At 42.2% G+C, this 21,702-nt stretch overlaps 1 protein-coding gene and 1 long non-coding RNA gene across 19 annotated transcripts in view, besides 5 other annotated features; one reads left to right on the forward strand and one right to left on the reverse strand.

The window, feature by feature from the left end:
• Nucleotides 1-1,894, reverse strand: part of ARFGEF1 (ARF guanine nucleotide exchange factor 1) — a 170,271-nt gene extending 168,377 nt beyond the window's left edge. For 14 of the 17 annotated variants that reach the window (NR_182117.1, NM_001413186.1, NM_001413187.1 and 11 more), the window contains exon 1: nucleotides 1,277-1,894. Coding sequence is in view for 11 of the 17 variants with exons in the window: in NM_001413186.1 (NP_001400115.1) it covers nucleotides 1,277-1,400 (124 nt within the window). In the remaining 6 variants the exon portion in view is untranslated. The remainder of the gene's footprint in view (nucleotides 1-1,276) is intronic. The other 3 variants (NM_001413185.1, NM_001413184.1, NM_001413188.1) reach the window with 2 other exon arrangements.
• Nucleotides 908-1,588: an enhancer, noted in NCBI's record as "H3K27ac hESC enhancer chr8:68255030-68255710 (GRCh37/hg19 assembly coordinates)". NCBI's record gives its function as "activates a minimal SCP1, AML or CMV promoter by ChIP-STARR-seq in naive and primed H9 embryonic stem cells {active_cell/tissue: H9 hESC(naive and primed)}" and the evidence as "EXISTENCE:reporter gene assay evidence [ECO:0000049][PMID:30033119]".
• Nucleotides 908-1,744: a biological region, named in NCBI's record as "H3K27ac hESC enhancer GRCh37_chr8:68255030-68255710".
• Nucleotides 1,515-1,744: a silencer, noted in NCBI's record as "silent region_19261". NCBI's record gives its function as "represses an Ori minimal core promoter by ATAC-STARR-seq in GM12878 lymphoblastoid cells {active_cell/tissue: GM12878}" and the evidence as "EXISTENCE:reporter gene assay evidence [ECO:0000049][PMID:35858748]".
• Nucleotides 1,925-2,184: a silencer, noted in NCBI's record as "silent region_19262". NCBI's record gives its function as "represses an Ori minimal core promoter by ATAC-STARR-seq in GM12878 lymphoblastoid cells {active_cell/tissue: GM12878}" and the evidence as "EXISTENCE:reporter gene assay evidence [ECO:0000049][PMID:35858748]".
• Nucleotides 1,947-21,702, forward strand: part of ARFGEF1-DT (ARFGEF1 divergent transcript) — a 148,035-nt gene continuing 128,279 nt past the window's right edge. The window contains exons 1-2 of one of the 2 annotated variants that reach the window (NR_136223.1): nucleotides 1,947-2,415; nucleotides 3,240-3,294. This is a non-coding gene — a long non-coding RNA (ARFGEF1 divergent transcript). The remainder of the gene's footprint in view (nucleotides 2,416-3,239; nucleotides 3,295-21,702) is intronic. The other variant, NR_136224.1, reaches the window with a different exon arrangement.
• Nucleotides 7,194-7,694: an enhancer, noted in NCBI's record as "H3K27ac hESC enhancer chr8:68261316-68261816 (GRCh37/hg19 assembly coordinates)". NCBI's record gives its function as "activates a minimal SCP1, AML or CMV promoter by ChIP-STARR-seq in naive H9 embryonic stem cells {active_cell/tissue: H9 hESC(naive)}" and the evidence as "EXISTENCE:reporter gene assay evidence [ECO:0000049][PMID:30033119]".

Consider the following 21,702-nt stretch of genomic DNA (forward strand, 5'->3'; position numbering starts at 1 on the left):
AATACTACACATTCAAATGTTTTAAGATGAAATTTCTTCGACGTTTTTCATATTACCAATTTTAACGATCTAGGAAAAAAAAACTACAGTATATTACAGCAAATTAAATGGTAGTCTTCCATTTAATAATTAAAAGCTAATTTTAAGTTGTCTAGACTCCTTAACTCTAGCATACTTTAAGTTATTGTGGATTTTTCCCCTTTCAAGAATGCTTTTTTGTAAAGCCCATTTAACAAGCTTCCTTTTCTTGCCAATTTGACCTAGTGTATTTCCAGTGCTATAAAGTGTAAACATTAGGAATGTATCTTTGTGTTAAATGTTCTGGTCTCTCAAACGATTTCAACTTTGATGGATGCAATAGATCTAACAATGTTCCCCCTTTAACAACTCCTCATCTGCCTAACCTCATAGGTAGGAGGTATTGTTTGGATTTTCCCTGCTGCGGGCTTCATTACACTAGATCTCTTCCATCTGAACTATAAATCACAATTCAAGCTTGAGAGCAGCTGCCACTGTCCAGACATGTGGCTGGTGGGTGTCATTGTCTTTTTCATTTTCCTCATTTCAAACCCTCCCTTCCCTTGTCACCTAAAGCCATTTTATCTAAAGGTTCTTTGCTTCCCTGCTTTCATGCCGCCACCCCCACCCTCACCCCTTAACCACCGGTCTTGTTCTTCCAGGTCAGCCCAGTCAGATACAATATTACTCTATGTTTTTCCTGTGGCGGAGGCGGAGAGATGTCAGAACGGGCTGCACCTCTTGCAAACCCCTTCTCAAGACTGTCAACAAGGAAACAACTTCAGCAGCCTATCTCCCCAAAGTACCTCGCCAAACGAAAAAGTTATTGTTAATTATGATACGGAACCTTTCCCACACCCAATCTTGACATACCAGCCCCACCTCAATTTCCAAGCTAATAAACAACAGCTCATCTTCTGCTTCATCACAAAGGGTGGTATCCAGTCCGCACCTCACGGACCACCAACAAAATCCTCTCACTCTCAAGTCGATCCCTCGAACCCAGGTGCCCCGCGATCCTAAGCCCTGCCGCGTTTCCCGAGCCCAGCTCACTGCCCTTCCTCCTCTACCCCGCCTCTGCCCCACATCCAGCCGAGTTCCTGTCAACTCCAGACAGGGAACAGAGGGCTCCGCGAGGGCTTCCCGAGGTCAGAGGCGCGGGCCTCGGGCAAGCCCCGGGCGACCCCACCCCCCCACAGGCGCCCCCCTCCCCGCCCCACAACAAGCACCCCATCCCCCGGGCCTCCTCCCCGCTCACCTAACGCCACCTCGCAAGCTTTGCGCAGCTGGGAGTGATGCGCCTTCTTCACTTCCTTGTCGGCCAATATCTTCTCCAGAGCCCGGGTCAGGAACATGTTCTTCGTCTTCTTCCCCTCATACATGGACGCAGAGAAGGAGGCGGCGGCTCGTCCGACCCGCGGCTCCCAGCGGCTGGAGGGGAGGAGGAGGAGAGGAAGGAAGAGAAGAGAGAAAGGAGAGGGGGTGGAGGTGGGGGATTGGAGGCGTGGAGGGCAGCGGCAGGATCAGGAAGGGGCGGGCGAGCGGGACCAGCCGCGGTGTCGGCGAAGGGCGTCGAGGTCCTCGCCGCCCCCAAGAAGCCGTACCTCGAGGGCCGCGCCCGTCGGGCCTCCGCTTCTCCCGGCCCGGGGGTCGCGTCCCGGCCGCCCCTCTCACTCGTCCCTCCGGCCCTGGTGGCGGTGAGGGAGCCCGGCCCGGGCGGCTGTCTGCCGGGAACTGAGGGACGAGGTGGCGGCGGCTCTCAGAGGCACCGCGAGAGAAGGGCTACCCTGGCTACTGTGGGGATTAGCACCCGCCGCGGCCGCGAACTGGCCCCCATCACCGCCGACCTGCCCCGGCCGCCATGTTGGGAGGAAACGACGCGTCACGCAGCGGCCGAACGGCTGCAGACGAGGAAGCGGCGGCGGCGGCGGCGGCGGCGGCGCTCCCTGCCCAGAGCTGCCGCGGCGCCGGGAGGCTGGGGGCGGAGGGCGGCGCGGGAGGAGCGGCCCGAGCCGCAGCGCTACGGCGGCCCGGCGGGGCCTCCAGCGTTCGCCTGCAGGGCGGCGTGGGGCGTGGCGGGCCTCTGGTGGCACCGCGCCCAGCACTTCGGGCTCTTGGTGGCGGCCGAGCTGCGGGACCAGAGATCCCCCCACTCGGCACCCCTGCTCCTGCCGAGTGAACAGGACTCCTGGCTACTCTGCACTGGCTTTCTAACTTTCTGATGGGGGTGCAGTCCTTTGCATTCCAGGGGTCACAGCAACACCCGCATCGCCCGTTCTCAGCCGCAGGGTCTCCGCCTGCATCACTCGACTCTAAAATTTCCTTCCCTAGTGCACGGAACTGCTGTCCAGGACTCTGCTCTCCGACTACCTCAGGGAGGATTCTGTTTTGGGAAAAGTAAGCCAAAACCTATTGATAAGGGTTCAAAAATGTTTCACTTTTTTCTCTCTCTGTCGGATAAATCGGTCAACTCTAGATTTCAGGTCCCTTCTGAATTGACTCAGTTAAGGTGAATGGTTGTGAATGAGGTCCCTTAGAGTTCTGTGTTTCTGTGCCTTTAATACTAAGATTTAGTCCAGGACATGTAAACCAGTTTAGAATGGAAAAGCTTTAAGTACAAACAGATTAACACACGTGACCATGTGTTTGCTTTAGTCTGAGTGTAGAACTCAAATTTCTGCAGTATTTAATTTCTACAGTTTCCTTCTGAGCAGAAAAAGAATACCATAAAAATATTTGCAAACATTATATATGGTGATCTAGGGTCACGTCTCCAAGTTCTAAGCTTCTGTGGCTCCACGCACACAGGTTCCCTAATGTTTACTATGCATCTGTCACTGTTCTGTTCTATTAGATTGCCTTAACTATAGGCTTGTCCTAACGTAACCATCCAAACCTAAGGAAGGAGAAACTTAAGTGACTCTGTGAACTTAGTGAAGTGACCAGATTTAGGAAGGCTAAAACCCAGAGGAAATAAAATGGAAAACTTGAAGGTGACAAATTAAAGTGGAAAAATAGATTAATTTTTTTAAACTTTATTGTCCTGAGAAACAAATCTATAAATTCATTAATTTTATTTTAGAGACTATCTCTAGATTCCTGGAAATGAAGGATTCATTATACTCTTAGATCAGATATAATACTGATTTCTGTGTATACGTTAATAAACTTTTTTAGAACAAGTTCCATTTCTTTTATTTTTTTCTTCCCTTCTTTCACAGGTGTTGATCCATTTCTAATTCATCTTTGTTTCTTCATAATGGAGTGTTGTGCCAGGTACTGTTGAGGGTACTAGCTGATCACCAAACCCATTTACTCTTCTTTCTTAGTATAGAATTGCATTGTCCAGCCTCCCTTGAAGTTAGGTGTAGCCATCCAGGCTTAACCTATTGTTAAAAAACCAACAAGAAATTCCCACAAGCAATCTTTCATGCTGTTTCCCTTTTTTTTTTTTTTCTTTTGGTAGAGATGGCATCTCACCATGTTGAACTCGTGGCCTCAAGCGATCCTCCTGCCTCAGCCTCCCAGTGCTGAGATTACAGGCATAAGCCACCATGCCCAGTCTCTCTTTTCCCTTCTATGGCCACAGCTGAAGATGGCAGAACCACAAGTTAGGAGTCTTAGTTTCTGAATTGGAACTCTTGGAGAAGAACCATCTAGAATAACTATTTTGTACTTTACATGAACGAAGCAGACTCTTCGGTTATGTTTAGCTGTCAGCTTTATCGTAAAACATACTTGGGATTCATTGATGAACAAGACAAGCTGGCACCTGTAGTCCCAGCACTTTGGGAGGCCAAGGCAGGAGAATGGCTTGAGGCCGGGATTTGCAGATGAAACTGGGCAACGTAGCAAGACACTGTCTTTACAAAAAATAAAGAAAAATTAGCCAGGCACGGTGGCATCCACCTGTAGTTGCAGCTGCTCAGGAGACTGAGGAGGAAGGATCGCTTGAGCTCAGGAGTTCGAGGCTGCAGTGAACTATGATATGATAGTGCCACAGCATTCATAATCATCTCATCTGCTTGCCTTGCTTGTTGATTGGTTGCATGTTTCTCTCATAAGTGCAGGGACCTCATATCTCTGTCTATTCACTTCTGTGTGCCCATCATCTATTATATTGCTGGCATAGAGAAGGCCTTTGCTATAAACTTATAGAAACTTGGATAAATGAAAGGCACCAGGCTAAGACAAGCATGATACCTGCCCTTTTGGACCTTACAGTATAGAGTAGGGAAAAGATATTAAGTCAGTAGTGAATATACAATTACAAATCTGTTGAGTATGATTAAAGAATAGAGTGCTGTGAGAGAAGGGAGAAGTAAATTAAATTGAGACCTGAAAGAAGAGTAGACATTAGCCAAACTAAGTCATGAAGAACTTTCCAGGCAAAGTCTCTTGGGGTAGGGGGAAGCTTGGCAAGTTTCAGGAAACAAAACAAGGCAGTGTGGCTGAAAGGATCAAGGAGAATGGTGCCAGTCAGGATGAAGAGGGAGCTAGGAACCAGATCATTCAGACTCTCGTAGGCCATGTTAGGGGGTTGCAATTTCATCGTAATAACAATGGAAATTCATTGAAAGGTTTTAAAAGTGGGGGATAAAGTGATCAAATTGGTGATTTTAAAATAATCCCTCTGTTACATGGAGAATGGATTGGAGGGGGAGAAGTGAGGATGTGGCAAAACATTTTAAGAAATTTATTACAACAGCGCAGGATGGCTTGGTCAGGTCCAGGGCCACCAAGCAAGGTTGTGGAGATCGTGGCACAAGGGAGCAAGTGTGGCTGAAATCCAGCCCCACTGTCTGCCCAAAAGAAGAGGCTTCTTTCACTAATTTGCATAAAGGTTAGCCCAGAAATGACAGTGGTAGCATGGAGATGGAGCAAAGTAGACAGATTTGGGATATACTTTGGTGGCAGAATAAACCGGACTTAATTAACTGGAGTGCAGGTTAGAGAGAGAAAGAGGTCACAAATGAATACCAGGTTTCTGCTGGGAACCAGTGAACAGTTGGAAATGCCATTTGTAGAGATAGGCTAGATGGAAGATTTGAGGGTAAAGAGTGTAGTTGTCAGTTTCAGAAGAATAAACTCCTCTGAGATATGACCTAACCCTCCCAGAAGGAATGATTTGCATCTTCCTTTGGGAGGACAACTCATCCTCTTCCCTTGCTGGGTTTACCCAAAAGGTGGTGGTGCTTGAGGGTGGAGGGGGGTAGGAGTAGTCTTACGAGATGGGCACTCCTATCCACTTGAAACTCAAGATACTAACTCAGACCTGTAGCAAAAATAGAGTAAGACTCTAGAATAAAGCTGATGCTCTTGGATATTTTCAATCTTTTATTGACAGGTACACAGGGAGTGGCAAAGGAGATTTTTACATGAAATTATGAGTACAGACCAGGCACTGTGGCTCATTCCTGTAAACCCAGCACTTTGGGAGGCTGAGGCGGGTGGATCACCTGAGGTCAGGAGTTCAGGACCAGCCTGGCCAACATGGTGAAACCCCGTTTCTACTAAAAATACAAAATTAGGTGGGCGTGGTGGCGGGTGCCTGTAATCCCAGATACTCAGGAGGCTGAGATAGGAGAATCGCTTGAACCCAGGAGGCGGAGGTTGCAGTGAGCCAAGATCATGCTGCTGCACTCCAGCCGGAGCAACAGAGTGAGACTCGATCTCAATTAAAAAAAAAAAGAAAAGAAATTATGAGTACATTCCCCTGTATATATATATTTTTTACTTTTTATTATTAATGTTGTTTGGTGCTAATATACAGCTATGTAAATAAATGCAATCTCAGTATTCACTTGCACTTGGCTCCTTGCAGTTTTCAAAACATCCAAATTCTATTTCTGAATTTCTAAAATATCTATCCTCTAAATTTTGAAATATATTTTTCCTTTTTTTGTTTTGTTTTATTTTTTGTTTTTTGTTATTATTATTTTTTGAGACGGAGTCTCACTTTGTTACCCGGGTTGGAGTGCAGTGGAACGATCTCGGCTCACTGCAACCTCCGCCTCCCGAGTTCAAGCAGTTCTCTTGCCTCAGCCTCCTGAGTAGCTGGGATTACAGGCGCCCACCACTAAGCCCAGCTATATATTTTTCTTATACATAATTGCTTTCCTGAGTCCATTTTGCCTCTCAGTTTGCACTCTCACCTTCCTATCACCTAATTCCCCCTCATCATTTCCCCTTCCATCTGTTAGTTTGCTGCGTACTAGCTGCTTTGGCTTTACTTCTTGGATAATTTTCCCACTTGTTTCCAAAGAGTCAAATAATATCAAGCAATAAAAGACTTTGATCTGGGTTTTAGCATCTTTATTGGTGTGCTTTATCATAGTCCTTTTAAATATAGATATACATTGAGTGTAACACAAAGATTAAAATCTGAATAAAATTTTAATTAATGTGGAGCATATTTGGTTGATGTTGAAAGCCAATATTAGTTAACATAAAAAATAACATCATGTTTACTTGACTAAAAAAAACTATGTGATGCCTCCGGTAGTCTTTCTCACATAATCTCAGAATTTAAACATTCCATAATCTGACTCCTGACATTGGTAGAGGAGGAAAAAAATTATTTTCCCTCTACCCGTGTTGTTAGTTCATTGGCTGGGGCTCTGCAAATTAGATGGACAAAAGACAGATTAATAAAAGCAAAGATGTATTAACCTGTGCGTGGTACAGTTATGGGAGTACTCAGTGATGAGTAACTCAAAAGTGTGGTGGTTAGAACTTGTTCTTCCATAGCATCGTAATAAAATAACAATAAATTTTTAGAAAAATCCTACAAAGGAAAGGACTTTGAGTTTCTAGCGTAGCAAATTTGGGAAGCAAATTTGAGAGAACTAGCAGAAGATGAAAGCTAGGTAATAAAATTTGTTATGTATTATTGAATCCTAAGGGTCCAGAGTTGTCTCCAGTGATTAACTTTTGTCTTTCCTGGTAAAGGGGTGGGGGTGTGGGAGTGGGCGGGGAGGAGACACCTTTACAAAGCCAGGATTACAATTTGGCAAGTCTAGCTCCAGAGCCCATATTCTAAATAACTAAACTATGCCGCCTCTAACAGTTTAGTTTGTCTTTTATGGTAATGCCCCAGTCCCTCTTCCTCAATTGTACACATGTAGGCACTCGTGTTCCAGCTCATTCCCTTCTCCAAATCACCCTCTACCTTTTATCCCCATGCAACGTACTCATATAAACACCAAGTTCATTCACACCTGTGTGCCTTTGTTCGTCTTTCAAATGATCCAGAGTGCTCACTGCCACCTTTCTTTTATTTGTTCTCCCCAAAGGCTTCCCAACCTTCAAAGTCTCTTTGAAATTCCATCCTCTCCTAAAAGTTCTTTCTTCTACCTGCAGTAACACTATTCTCTCCCTTCTGTGTCTACACTTTATGCCTAACTGTCCCCAGTAGTGTTGAATTCTCTACTTTTAAGTTTTTGAAGACTAGGCATACACAAAAAGATGAGGCAGCCAACTTAGCAAAAGATGAGAAACATTGATTAAACAGAAACAATCAGTTTTGCTGAAACCACAATAATGGCATGACTAATAGAAGAAAGGCCATCTCCAAAATAAATGGTCTGCTTTCTTGGCTTTTCATGTAAGCTAATTTGATATTCCACTTTCACTAGTCTGCTTGTTTTTACCTCATTTATTAAGACAGTAAATGGATATAGTGTATCTTTAGCCAAGCGCAGTGGCTCATTCCCATAATCGCAGCACTTTGGGAGGCCGAGGCAAGCAGATCACCTGAGTTCAGGAGTTTGAGAACGACCTGGCCAACATGGTGACACCTGGTCTCTACCAAAAAAAAGAAAAAAAAAAAAATTAGCAGGGTGTGATGGCACATGCCTGTAATCTCAGCCACTTGGAAGGCTGAGGCAGGAGAATCGCTTGAACCTGGGAGGCGAAGGTTCAACGAGCTGAAATTTGCACCACTGCACTCCAGCCTGGGTGACAAGAGTGAAACTCAGTCTCCAAAAAAATAAAAAAGGATATAGTGTATCTTTAAACTGGGTGGTTCTACTTGTTGTCCTGCAGGCAAGGTATCAAGACATTGGACAGGGCAGACAGAGGGAGAGCATTGTGTATTAAAGAATTTGATTTAGAAAGAAAAGAAAGCAAATTTTTATTGAAAAAGAGACTATAAGGTGGTATTTGATAAAGAGAACATTCCAAAAAGTTAGAATGTGGTTGCAAAAAAATAAATAAATAAATACAAATCTAGAGCCATATGGCTTTTCGTGAATTTAAAACCATCCAATGCTAATCTTTTACAGAATAACAAAATTGAAAGCATAAACTCTTAAATTTTCCTACTATGTTTGGTTTCACAATTCTCTAGCATGACGAAAGGTACTTACTTTTAATCTATAGCACTGTACTCTACTTTTCTCTACACAGTTGTAATTTTTCCCGGAAAGTCACACCAATGATAGCTACTACTTATTGGATATTTACTTTGTATGAAGCTCTTGGCAAGCATTAAGTCACTTAATCCTTAATCCACAACTCAGTGATACATATATTATTATTTCTTTTTTATAGTTGAGAAGGAAAAAAGTTCAACAAGTTAATTGCCCAAGGTTACAGTGTAGCACAACCAAATACAAATCTAAGTTTGTCATTTGCCATAATCCATGGATGCTCTTAACCATTGTTTCATCCTATTTCTTTCTTCGTCACATATTTCTAAATATCCGTTTGAGATGACTTCTCACCAGTATTGTGCCATAATTATTTTAAGGCAGGACCACATTGTCTCTTTCTTTTGAAACTACCCTCAACAGTTAGTACACTGAAAATAATTTTAAGTGTTAATGAATAAGTGGACATTAATCTTTCTAATGAGGTCAGGTTTTCCAAAATTTTTTTAATGGGAATTTTTTTATTAAAAGCCTGCCTTTTGAGGGAGGTGGGGGGGTCAGCCCCCCGCCCGGCCAGCCGCCCCGTCCGGGAGGTGAGGGGTGCCTCTGCCCGGCCGCCCCTACTGGGAAGTGAGGAGCCCCTCTGCCAGGCCACCACCCTGTCTGGGAGGTGTACCCAACAGCTCATTGAGAACGGGCCATGATGACAATGGCGGTTTTGTGGAATAGAAAGGGGGGAAAGGTGGGGAAAAGATTGAGAAATCGGATGGTTGCCGTGTCTGTGTAGAAAGAAGTAGACATGGGAGACTTTTCATTTTGTTCTGTACTAAGAATAATTCTTCTGCCTTGGGATCCTGTTGATCTGTGACCTTACCCCCAACCCTGTGCTCTCTGAAACATGTGCTGTGTCCACTCAGGGTTCAATGGATTAAGGGCGGTGCAAGATGTGCTTTGTTAAACAGATGCTTGAAGGCAGCATGCTTGTTAAGAGTCATCACCACTCCCTAATCTCAAGTACCCAGGGACACAAACACTGCGGAAGGCCGCAGGGTCCTCTGCCTAGGAAAACCAGAGACCTTTGTTCACTTGTTTATCTGCTGACCTTCCCTCCACTATTGTCCTATGACCCTGCCAAATCCCCCTCTGCGACTAACACCCAAGAATGATCAATTTAAAAAAAAAAAAAAAAGCTGTATAGTAACACAGTAAACAGCTACTAACACATAAAAAAAAAAAAAAAGCCTGCCTTTTAAAGAAATTGAATTTTTAGTTTACTTTAAAACTTTTGGAAAAAGAAATTTTCAGGCCCAAATGGTTTCATTCCTGAATTCTATCAAACATTTAGAGAAGAAATAACACCATCTCTTTCAGAGAAAAGAGAACACTTTTCAGCTTATTGTATGAGGCCAGCAAAATTAAATAAAAACAGGACAGAACTACAGATTCATATCCTTCCTGAACATAGATGCAAAGGTCCTCAACAAAATATTAGCAAATCAAAATCAGCAAACTGTTAAAAGAATAATACACCACAACCAACAGGAGGTTCATGCTGGGAATGCTAGCTGGGGCACTGTTAGAAAAGCAACTAAGGGGCCTGGAGCGGTGGCTCACGCCTGTAATGCCAGCTGAGGCAGGTGGATCACGAGGTAAAGAGATCGAGACCATCAACATGGTGAAACCCCGTCTCTACTAAAAATACAAAAATTAGCTGGGCGTGGTGGCACGCACCTGTAGTCCCAGCTACTCGGGAGGCTGAGGCAGGAGAATCACTTGAACCCGGGAGGCAGAGGTTGCAGTGAGCCGAGATCACGCCACTGCACTCCAGCCTGGTGACAGAGCAAGTCTCCGTCTCAAAAAAAAAAAAAAAAAAGAAAAGAAAAAGGAAAAGCAAGAAAGGTTATTGACTACACTAGCAGACTAAAAGAAAAACTACCTGGCCCTGGCGCGGTGGCTCAGCCTGTAATCCCAGCCCTTTGGGAAGCCAAGGTGGGCAGATCACAAGGTCAGGAGTTCGAGACCAGCCTGACCAACATGGTGAAACTCCGTCTCTACCAAAAACACCAAAATTAGCTGGGCATGGTGGCACGTGCCTGCAGTCCCAGCTACTCAGGAGGCTGAGGCAGGAGAATCACTTGAATACAGGAAGGGGAGATTGCAGTGAGCTGAGATCACGCCACTGCACTCCAGCCTGGGCGACAGAGTGAGACTCTGTCTCAAAAAAAAAAAAAAAAAAAAAAAGAGAGAAAAAGAAAAACTACCTGATGACGTCATTTGATGCAGAATAAGCATTTGATAAAATTCAGCATCCATTTATGCTGAAAACTCTCAGTAAACATACGCAACCTGATAAAGAATATCTTCAAAAAGACCAACAACAGGCAACATACTTAATGGCAAAAATTTGAATGCCGTGAATGGAAAGAAGGCAAGGATGTTTACTCTCAAGACTCCTATTCAACAGTATACTGAAAGTCCTAACCAGTATAATCAGGCAAGGAAAAGAAAAGGCACACAGGCTGGAATGGAAGAAACAAACTGTCCTTATTCAGTCAGCGTAATTGTATATGTAGGAACCTACAAAAAAACCTCCTAGAACTTACAATTGAGTTTAACAACTTCACAGGATATGAAGTCAGTGAATGAAAATGAATTGTTTTTTTAATTTTTATTTATACTTTAAGTTCTATGGTACATGTACACAACGTGCAGGTTTGATACATAGGTATACATGTGCCATGTTGGTTTGCTGCACCCATCAACTCATCATTTACATTAGGTATTTCTTCTAGTGCTATCCCTCCCCCAGCCCCCACCCCTGACAGGCCCTGGTGTGTGATGTTACCCGCCCTGTATCCAAGTGATCTCATTGTTCAATTCCCACCTGTGAGTGAGAACATACGGTGTTTGGATTTCTGTCCTTGTGATGGTTTGCTCAGAATGATGGTTTCCAGCTTCATCCATGTCCCTGCAAAGGACATGAACTCATCCTTTTTTATGGCTGCATAGTATTCCATGGTACATATGTGCCACATTTGCTTAATCCAGTTTATCATTGATAGACATTTAGGTTGGTTCCAAGTCTTTGCTATTGTGAACAGTGCCGCAATAAACATACATATGCATGTGTCTTTATTGTAGCATGATTTATAATCCTTTGGGTATATACCCAGTAATGGGATGGCTGGGTCAAATGGTATTTCTAGTTCTAGATCCCTGAGGAATTGCCACACTGTCTTCCACAATGGTTGAACTAGTTTACACTCCCACCAACAATGTAAAAGTGTTCCTATTTCTCCACATCCTCTCCAGCATCTGTTGTTTCCTGACTGTTTAATGATTGCGATTCTAACTGACGTGAGATGGTATCTCATTGTGGTTTTGATTTGCATTTCTCTGATGGCCAGTGATGATGAGCATTTTTTCATGTGTCTGTGGGCTGCATAGATGTCTTCTTTTGAGAAGTGTCTATTGTATCCTTTGCCCACTTTTTGATGGGGTTGTTTGTTTTTTTTTCTTGTAAATTTGTTTGAGTTCTTTGTAGATTCTGGATATTAGCCCTTTGGCAGATGGGTAGATTGCAAAAATTTTCTCCCATTCTGTAGGTTGCCTGTTCACTCTGATGGTAGTTTCTTTTGCCGTGCAGAAGCTCTTTAGTTTAATTAGATCCCATTTGTCAATTTTGGCTTTTGTTGCCATTGCTTTTGGTGTTTTAGTCATGAAGTCCTTGCCCATGCCTATGTCCTGAATGGTATTGCCCAGGTTTTCTTCTAGGGTTTTTATGGTTTTAGGTCTAACATTTAAGTCTTTAATCCATCTTGAATTAATTTTTGTATAAGATGTAAGGAAGGGATCCAGTTTCAGCTTTCTGCATATGGCTAGCCAGTTTTCCCAGCACCATTTATTAAATAGGGAATCCTTTCCCCATTTATTGTTTCTGTCAGGTTTGTCAAAGATCAGATGGTTGCAGATGTCTGGTGTTATTTCTGAGGTCTCTGTTCTGTTCCATTGGTCTATATCTCTGTTTTGGTGCCAGTACCATGCTGTTTTGGTTACTGTAGCCTTGTAGTATAGTTTGAAGTCAGGTAGCATGATGCCTCCAGCTTTGTTGTTTTTGCTTAGGATTGTCTTGGCAATGCGGGCTCTTTTTTGGTTTCATATGAACTTTAAAGTAGTTTTTTCCAATTATGTGAAGAAAGTCATTGGTAGCTTGATGGGGATGGCATTGAATCTATAAATTACTTTGGGCAGTTTGGCTGTTTTCATGATATTGATTCTTCCTATCCATGAGCGTGGAATATTCTTCCATTTGTTTGTGTCCTCTTTTATTTCATTGAGCAGTGGTTTGTAGTTCTTCTTGAAGAGGTCCTTCACATCCCTTGTAAGTTAGATTCCTAAGTATTTTATTCTCTTTGTCGCAATTGTGAATGGGAGTCCACTCATGATTTGGCTCTCTGTTTGTCTATTAATGGTGTATAGGAATGCTGGTGATTTTTGCACATTGATTTTGTATCCTGAGACTTTGCTGAAGTTGCTTATCAGCTTAAGGAGATTTTGGGCTGAGACGATGGGGTTTTCTAAATATACAATCATGTCATCTGCAAACAGGGACAATTTGACTTCCTCATTTCCTAATTGAATACCCTTTATTTCTTTCTTTTGTATGATTGCCTGGGACAGAACTTCCAACACTATGTTGAATAGGAGTGGTGAGAGAGGGCATCCTTGTCTTGTGCTGGTTTTTAAAGGGAATGCTTCCAGTTTTTGCCCATTCAGTATGATATTGGCTGTGGGTTTGTCATAAATAGCTCTTATTATTTTGAGATACGTTCCACTGATACCTAATTTATTGAGAGTTTTTAGCATGAAGCGCTGTTTAATTTTGTCGAAGGCCTTTTCTGCATCTATTGAGATAATCGTGTGGTTTTTGTCATTTGTTCTGTTTATGTGATGGATTACGTTTATTGATTTGCGGGTGTTGAACCAGCCTTGCATCCCAGGGATGACACTGATTTGATCATGGTGGATAAGCTTTTTGATGTGCTGCTGGATTCAGTTTGCCAGTATTTTATTGAGGATTTTCGCATCGATGTTCATTAGGGATATTGGTCTAAAATTCTCTTTTTTTGTTGTGTCTTTGCCAGGCTTTGGTATTAGGATGATGTTGGCCTCATAAAATGAGTTAGGGAGGATTCCCTCTTTTTCTATTGATTGGAATAGTTTGAGAAGGAATGGTACTAGCTCCTCTTTGTACCTCTGGTAGAATTTGGCTGTGAATCTGTCTGGTCCTGGATTTTTTTGGTTGCTAGGCTATTAATTATTGCCTCAATTTCAGAGTCTGTTCTTGGTCTATTCAGAGATTAAACTTCTTCCTGGTTTAGTCTTGGGAGGGTGTGTGTGTCCAGGAATTTATCCATTTCTTCTGGATTTTCTAGTTTATTTGCATAGTGGTGTTTATAGTGTTCTCTGATGGTAGTTTGTATTTCTGTTGGATCAGTGGTGATATCCCCTTTATCATTTTTTATTGTGTGTATTTGATTCTTCTCTCTTTTCTTCTTTATTAGTCTTGCTAGCGGTCTATCAATTCTGTTGAGCTTTTCAAAAAACCAGCTCCTGGATTCATTGATTTTTTTGAAGGGTTTTTTGTGTCTCTATCTCTTTCAGTTCTGCTCTGATCTTAGTTATTTCTTGCCTTCTGCTAGCTTTTGAATTTGTTTGCTCTTGCTTCTCTAGTTCTTTTAATTGTGATGTCGGGGTGTCGATTTTAAATCTTTCCTGCTTTCTCTTGTAGGCATTTAGTGCTATAAATTTCCCTCTACACACTGCTTTGAATGTGTCCCAGAGATTCTGGTATGTTGTGTCTTTGTTCTCATTGGTTTCAAAGGACATCTTTATTTCTGCCTTCATTTCGTTATTTACCCAGTAGTCATTCAGGAGCAAGGTGTTCAGTTTCCACGTAGTTGTGCGGTTTTGAGTGAGTTTCTTAATCCTGAGTTCTAATTTGATTGCACTGTGGTCTGAGAGACAGTTTGTTGTGATTTCTGTTCTTTTACATTTGCTGAGGAGTGCTTTACTTCCAATTATGTGATCAATTTTAGAATAAGTGTGATGTGGTGCTGAGAAGAATGTATATTCTGTTGATTTGGGGTGGAGAGTTCTGTAGATGTCTATTAGGTCTGCTTGTTGCAGAGCTGAGTTCACGTCCTGGATATCCTTGTTAACCTTCTGTCCCATTGATCTGTCTAATATTGATGGTGGGGTGTTAAAGTCTCCCATTATTATTGTGTGGGAGTCCAAGTCTCTTTTTAGGTCTCTAAGGACTTGCTTTATGAATCTGGGTGCTCCTGTATTGGGTGCATATATATTTAGGATGGTTAACTCTTCTTGCTGAATTGATCCCTTTACCATTATGTAATGGCCTTCTTTGTATCTTTTGATCTTTGTTGGTTTAAAGTCTGTTTTATCAGAGACTAGGATTGCAACCCCTGCTTTTTTTTTGCTTTCCATTTACTTAGTAGATCTTCCTCTATCCCTTTATTTTGAGCCTGTGTGCATCTTTGCATGTGAGATGGGTCTCCTGAATACAGCACACTGATGTGTCTTGACTCTATCCAATTTGGCAGTCTGTGTCTTTTAATTGGGGGATTTAGCCCATTTACATTTAATGTTAATATTGTTATGTGTGAATTTGATCCTTTCATTATGATGTTTGCTGGTTATTTTGCCTGTTAATTGATGCAGTTTCTTCATAGCATCAATGGTGTTTACAATTTGACATGTTTTTGCAGTGGCTGGTACCGGTTGTTCCTTTCCATGTTTAGTGCTTCCTTTAGGAACTCTTGTAAGGCAGGCCTGGTGGTGACAAAATCTCTCAGCATTTGCTTGTCTGTAAAGGATTTTATTTCTCCTTCACTTATGAAGCTTAGTTTGGCTGGATATGAAATTCTGGGTTGAAAATTCTTTTCTTTAAGAATGTTGAATATTGGCCCCCACTCTCTTCTGGCTTATAGGGTTTCTGCCGAGAGATCCACTGTTAGTCTGCTGGGCTTCCCTTTGTGGGTAACTCGACCTTTCTGTCTGGCTGCACTTTACACTTTTTCCTTCATTTCAACTTTGGTGAATGTGACAATTATGTGTCTTGGGGTTGCTCTTCTGAAGGAGTATCTTTCTGGTGTTGTCTGTATTTCCTGAATTTGAATGTTGGCCTGCCTTGCTAGTTTAGGGAAGTTCTCCTGGATAATACCCTGCAGAGTGTTTTCCAACTTGGTTCCATTCTCCCCATCACTTTCAGGTACACCAATCAGACTTAGATTTGGTCTTTTCACATAGTCCCATATTTCTTGGAGGCTTTGTTAATTTCTTTTTACTCTTTTTTCTCTAACCTTGTCTTCTTGCTTTATTTCATTAATTTGATCTTCAGTCACTGATACCCTTTCTTCCACTTGATCGAATCTGCTACTGAAGCTTGTGCATGCATCATGAAGTTCTCATGACATGGTTTTCAGCTCCATCAGGTCATTTAAGATCTTCTCTACGCTGTTTATTCTAGTTAGCCATTCATCTAATCTTTTTTCAAGGTTTTTAGCTTCCTTGCAGTGGGTTCAAACATCCTCCTTTAGCTCGGAGAAGTTTGTTATTATCAACCTTCTGAAGCCTACTTCTGTCAACTCGTCAAAGTCATTCTCCGTCCAGCTTTGTTCCATTGCTGGCAAGGAGCTATGATCCTTTGGAGGAAAAGAGGCTCTCGGATTTTTAGAATTTTCAGCTTTTCTGCTCTGGTTTCTTCCCATCTTTGTGGTTTTATCTACCTTTGGTCTTTGATGATGGTGACCTACAGATGGGGTTTTGGCGTAGATGACCTTTTTGTTGATGTTGATGCTATTCCTTTCTGTTTGTTAGTTTTCCTTCTAACAGTCAGGTCCCTCAGCTGCAGGTCTGTTGGAGTTTGCTGGAGTTCCACTCCAGACCCTGTTTGCCTGTGTATCAGCAGCGGAGGCTACAGAACAGCAAATATTGCTGCCTGATCCTTCCTCTGGAAGCTTCGCCCCAAAGGGGCAGCTGCCTATATGAGGTGTCTGTCGGCCCCTATTGGGAAGTGTCTCCCAGTTGGGCTACACAGGGGTCAGGGACCCACTTGAGGAGGCAGTCTGTCCATTCTCAGAGCTCAAACGCCGTGCTGGGAGAACTGCTACTCTCTTCAGAGCTGTCGGACAAGGATGTTTAAGTCTGCAGAAGTTGTCTGCTCCCTTTGTTCAGCTATGCCCTGCCCACAGAGGTGGAGTCTAGAGGCAGTAGGCCTTGTTGAGCTGCGGTGGGCTCTGCCCAGTTAGAGCTTCCCGGCTGCTTTCTTTACCTACTCAAGCCTCAGCAATGGCAGATGCCCCTCCCCCAGCCAGGCTGCCATCTCACAGATCGATCTCATACTGCTGTGCTAGCAGTGAGCAAGGCTTCGTGAGTGTGGGACCCACCAAGCCAGGCACGGGAGAGAATCACCTTGTCTGCTGGTTGCTAAGACCTTCGGAAAAGTGCAGTATTTGGGTGGGAGTGCCCCGTTTTTCCAGGTAGTCTGTCCCGGCTTCCCTTGGCTAGGAAAGGGAAATCCCCCAACCCCTTGTGCTTCCCAGGTGAGGCGATGCCCCGCCCTGCTTCAGATCGCCCTCCATGGGCTGCACCCACTGTCCAGCCAGTCCCAGTGAGATGAACCAGGTACCTCAGTTGGAAATGCAGAAATCACCCATCTTCTGTGTTGATCACACTGGGAGCTGCAGACCAGAGCTGTTCCTATTCGGCCATCTTGGTAAAGTCCTATTTTTTGTTTTTTTTTTGAGATAGAATCTTGCTCTGTCACCCAGGCTGGAGTGCAGTGGCGCAATCTTGGCTCACTGCAACCTCCACCTCCAGGGTTCATGTGATTCTCCTGCCTCAGCCTCCCAAGTAGCTGGGATTACAGGCACCCGCCACTACGCCCAGCTAATTTTTTGTATTTTTTTTTTAGTAGAGAAAGAGTTTCACCATGTTGGCCAGGCTGGTCTCAAATTCCTGACCTTGTGATCCGCCCGCCTCGGCCTCCCAAAGTGCTGGGATTACAGGTGTGAGCCACTGCACCTGGCCTCAATTCTGTTTTTATATATTGTCATGTACAACTGGAAACTAAAATTTTTTTTAAAAAACTCTATTTACACTAAAGCCAAAAAATGAAATACTTGGTTATAAATCTAACAAAACATGTATAGAATCCATATGCTGAAAACAAAATGCTACCTAGTATTCGATAATAGGGTGACTATAGTCTAATAATTTAATTGCACATTTAAAAATAACTAAAATAGTATAATTGGATTGTTTGTAACACAAAAGATAAATGCTTGAGGGAATGGATACCCTATTTTACATGATGTGATTATCATGCATTGCATCCCTGTATCAAAACATCTCATGTACCACATAAATATTTACACCTGCTATGTACCCACAAAAATTAAAATAATTATTTTCAAAATATGCTGATGAGGAGAATAAAAGCTAAAATAAACAGGGAGACATATATTCATGGATTGGAAGATGTCAATTGGTCTGTAGGTTTAGCAGAATTCCAATTACGTGGTTATACACAAGCTGATTCTAAAATGTACATGGAAAGGCAGTGTAACTAGAAAAGTCATACGATTTTTTTTTTTTTTTTTGAGATGGAGTCTTGCTCTGTCACCCAGGCTGGAGTGCAGTGGCGCAATCTCGGCTCACTGCAAGCTCTGCCTCCCGGTTTCACGCCATTCTCCTGCCTCAGCCTCCCTAGTAGCTGGGACTACAGGTGCCCGCCACCACGCCTGGCTAATTTTTTGTATTTTTAGTAGAGGCGGGGTTTCACCATGTTAGCTAGGATGGTCTCGATCTCCCGACCTTGTGATCCACCCGCTTCGGCCTCCCAAAGTGCTGGGATTACAGGCGTGAGCCACCGCGTCCGGCCACAATTTTTAAAAAGAACAAAATTGGAGGAATGACAATACCCAATGTTGAGACAACATAAAGTTTCAATAAGACACTAGAGTATTGGCTGGGGGATAGACACATTGATCACAGAATAGAAGTCCAGATACAGACCCACAGAAACATAGCCAGTTGTGGCCAGGTGCAGTGGCTCATGCTGGTAATCCCAGCACTTTGGGAGGCCAAGGCAGTCGGGATCACCTGAGCCCAGGAGTTTGAGACCAGGCTGGGCAACATGGCAAAACCCCCTCTCTATAAAAAATACAAAAAATTAGCCAGGCACAGTGGTGAGTACCTGTAGTCCAGCTACTTGAGAGGCTGAGGTGGGAGGATCACCTGAGCCTGGGAAGTCGAGGCTGCAGTGAGCCATGATTGCACCACTGCACTCCAGCGTGGGCGATGGGAGTGAGACCCTCTCTCAAAAATATATATATGTGTGTGTGTGTGTCTGTGTGTGTGTGTGTCTGTGTGTATAGTCAGTTGATTTTTGACAAAGGTTCAAAGTCAATTCTGTGAAGACAGGATAATCTTCTCAAGAAACGATAATGAAACCATTAGATATCTATATGTGAAAGAAAGGGCCTCAATCTAAATATCACATTTTATACAAAAAAGTAGATCATAGAGCTAAATGTAAAATGTAAAGCTATAAAACTCTGATAAATAAACATAGGAGAAAATCTTCATGAGTTGGTGTTAGGCAAAAAGTTATTGGGGATAACACCAAAGCATGATCTATAAAAGAAAAAAATTGATACACTGGACTTCACAAAATTTATAACTTTTGCTCTGTAAAGTATTAAGAGCAAAAAAAGACAGGCTATAAAATGGGAGAAAATTTTGAAAATCTCATATTTGACAAATGGCTTGTATTTAGAGTACATATTTTCAAAAATTCTCAAAAATCAACAATAAAAACATCAAGCAACCCAACTTAAAAATTGGTAGAATAGTTGGACACTTCAGTAAAGAGGATGTAGAATGGTAAACAAGCATAAGAAAAAATGTTCATCATCATTACCTGTTAAGGAAATGCAAAATAAAACCACAATGAGTTACTACTATACACCTATTAAAATGGCTGAAATAAAAAATGCTGCAATATCAAGTGCCAGAGGGGATGTAGATCAATCTGAACTCTCACGCATTGCTGGCAGAAATGCAGAATGGTACAAGTTGGGAAAACAATTTTGGTACTTGCTTATAAAGTTAAACTAACACTTAACCTGTGACTCAGCATTCCTAACGATAGATATTTACGTAATCTAGGGAAATTAAAACTTATGTTCACCCAAAAACATGTACACATATGTGCAACTCTGTTCATACTCACTAAAAACTGGGAACAATTCAAATATTGTCTTTCTTTGGGTAAATGGATAAACAAACACTGGCATATTTATACAATGTTCTAGTACTGAGCAATATAAAAGGACAAATTATTGATACATGCAACAACTTGGATGAATCTCAAAAGCATTTTGCTGAGTGAAAGAAGATAATTTCAAAAGGTTTTATACTATATTATTCATTTCTGTGACATTCTGAAAAAGGCCAAACTATAGAGATGAAAACATCAGTGGTTATCACCTATCATATGTGGAGGTAGGAGGTGTCTATAAAGAGATGTAATGTAATTTAGGGGACTGGGGTAATGAGGATATTCTCTTTTTTTCTTTTTTTTTTTTTTTGAGATGGAGTCTCGCTCTGTCGCCTAGGCTGGAGTACAGTGGCGCAATCTCAGCTCACTGCTACCTCTGCCTCCTGGGTTCAAGCGATTCTTCTGCCTCAACCTCCCCAGTAGCTGGGACTACAGGCGCCCACCACCACGCCTGGCTAATTTTTGTATTTTTAGTAGAGATGGGGTTTCACTATGTTGTCCAGGCTGGTCTCAAACTCCTGACCTTATGATCTGCCCGCCTTGGCCTCCAGAAGTGCTGGGATTACGGGCGTAAAACACCACGCCCGGCCACATATTCTCTATTCTGGTTGTGATGGTGTAGAAATCCATACATCTGTGTGTGTAAATTCATAGACCTGTTCACAAAAATACATCAGTTTTACTCTATGATAATATATTTTTAAACTTTATTTTCAGTACCACTAAATATCACTTTTATTTCTATGGGACTGCTAAATCAGAACCCACTGAATATAAGGCAGAGAGAGATGATTAATTCTAGATGTTTTTATTTTATAATTTAAAAGAAACACAGGTTTGCTATGCCAAGTAGTAGAAAAATGTAAGCAGTATTGAGGGGAGGAGGGTCTGGTTAGTAAAGAGGCTAAATTATCCAGCTACGACATGCACTGAATTTTCTGGATAATTATACACATTTCCACTCACCTATAAGCAAGTAAGGCTCTTGAGGCACATAAATGATTCCACTGCAATAAGTTACATTTTTTGGAACTCTACTAACACATACATTCAAAGCTCTTTTTGGTGATTTATCATTGTTTCAACCTAAAGAGTTTCTGAAATTTCCTAACATACCATTCATAACTCCAACGGAATCCCTTACATACTGAAATAAGTCAGTATTATTTTCTTTTTTAAAATGTCACCACTGATGAGGAGCTAAGTCTTAAGTTTTTGAAATATTTAAGAAAATATTAAATTCATTATAAGAATAATAATTTAGTATTCATCTTGTTTATAAATATGTTTCCTCTGTGGTTGGACAACTGGATTATAATTTGTTTTTAGAGTTCTCGATTGCAATTATATTAATTTAAAACTATATTTTGAGACTAGTGAAATAAATTATGGTACATCCATCTAATGGAATATTATGTAGCTGTAATAAAGAATGAAGATGCTTTTAATGTACTGGTATGGAATGATCTCAGATATCTTAATATATTAGGTGTATAAAGCAAATGAGAATAGTAGGCAAAACATGCTATTATTTATGCAAAATGGGAAAATTTTATACTTATACATACACACATAGATACATACATGTGTATTTACTTATAAGACAGACTATCGGTCAGGCACAGTGGCTCACGCCTGTAATCCCAGCACTTTGGGAGGCCAAGGTTGGTGGATCACCTGAGGTCAAGAGTTCCAGACCAGCATGGTGAAAGCCCGTTTCTACTAAAAATACAAAAAATTAGCCGGGCATGGTGGCGCACGCCTATAATCCCAGCTACTCGGGGGGCTGAGGCAGGAGAATTGCTTGAACCCGGGAGGCAGAGGTTACAGTGAGCCGAGGTCACGCCATTGCAGTCCAGCCTGGGCAACAAGAGCAAAACTCCGTCTCAGAAAAAAAAAAGACTATCATGTGGGCAAGGTGGCTCACACCTGTAATCCCAGCATTTT

Source organism: Homo sapiens, chromosome 8, assembly GCF_000001405.40.
Source record: "Homo sapiens chromosome 8, GRCh38.p14 Primary Assembly".
NCBI lineage: Eukaryota > Metazoa > Chordata > Mammalia > Primates > Hominidae > Homo > Homo sapiens.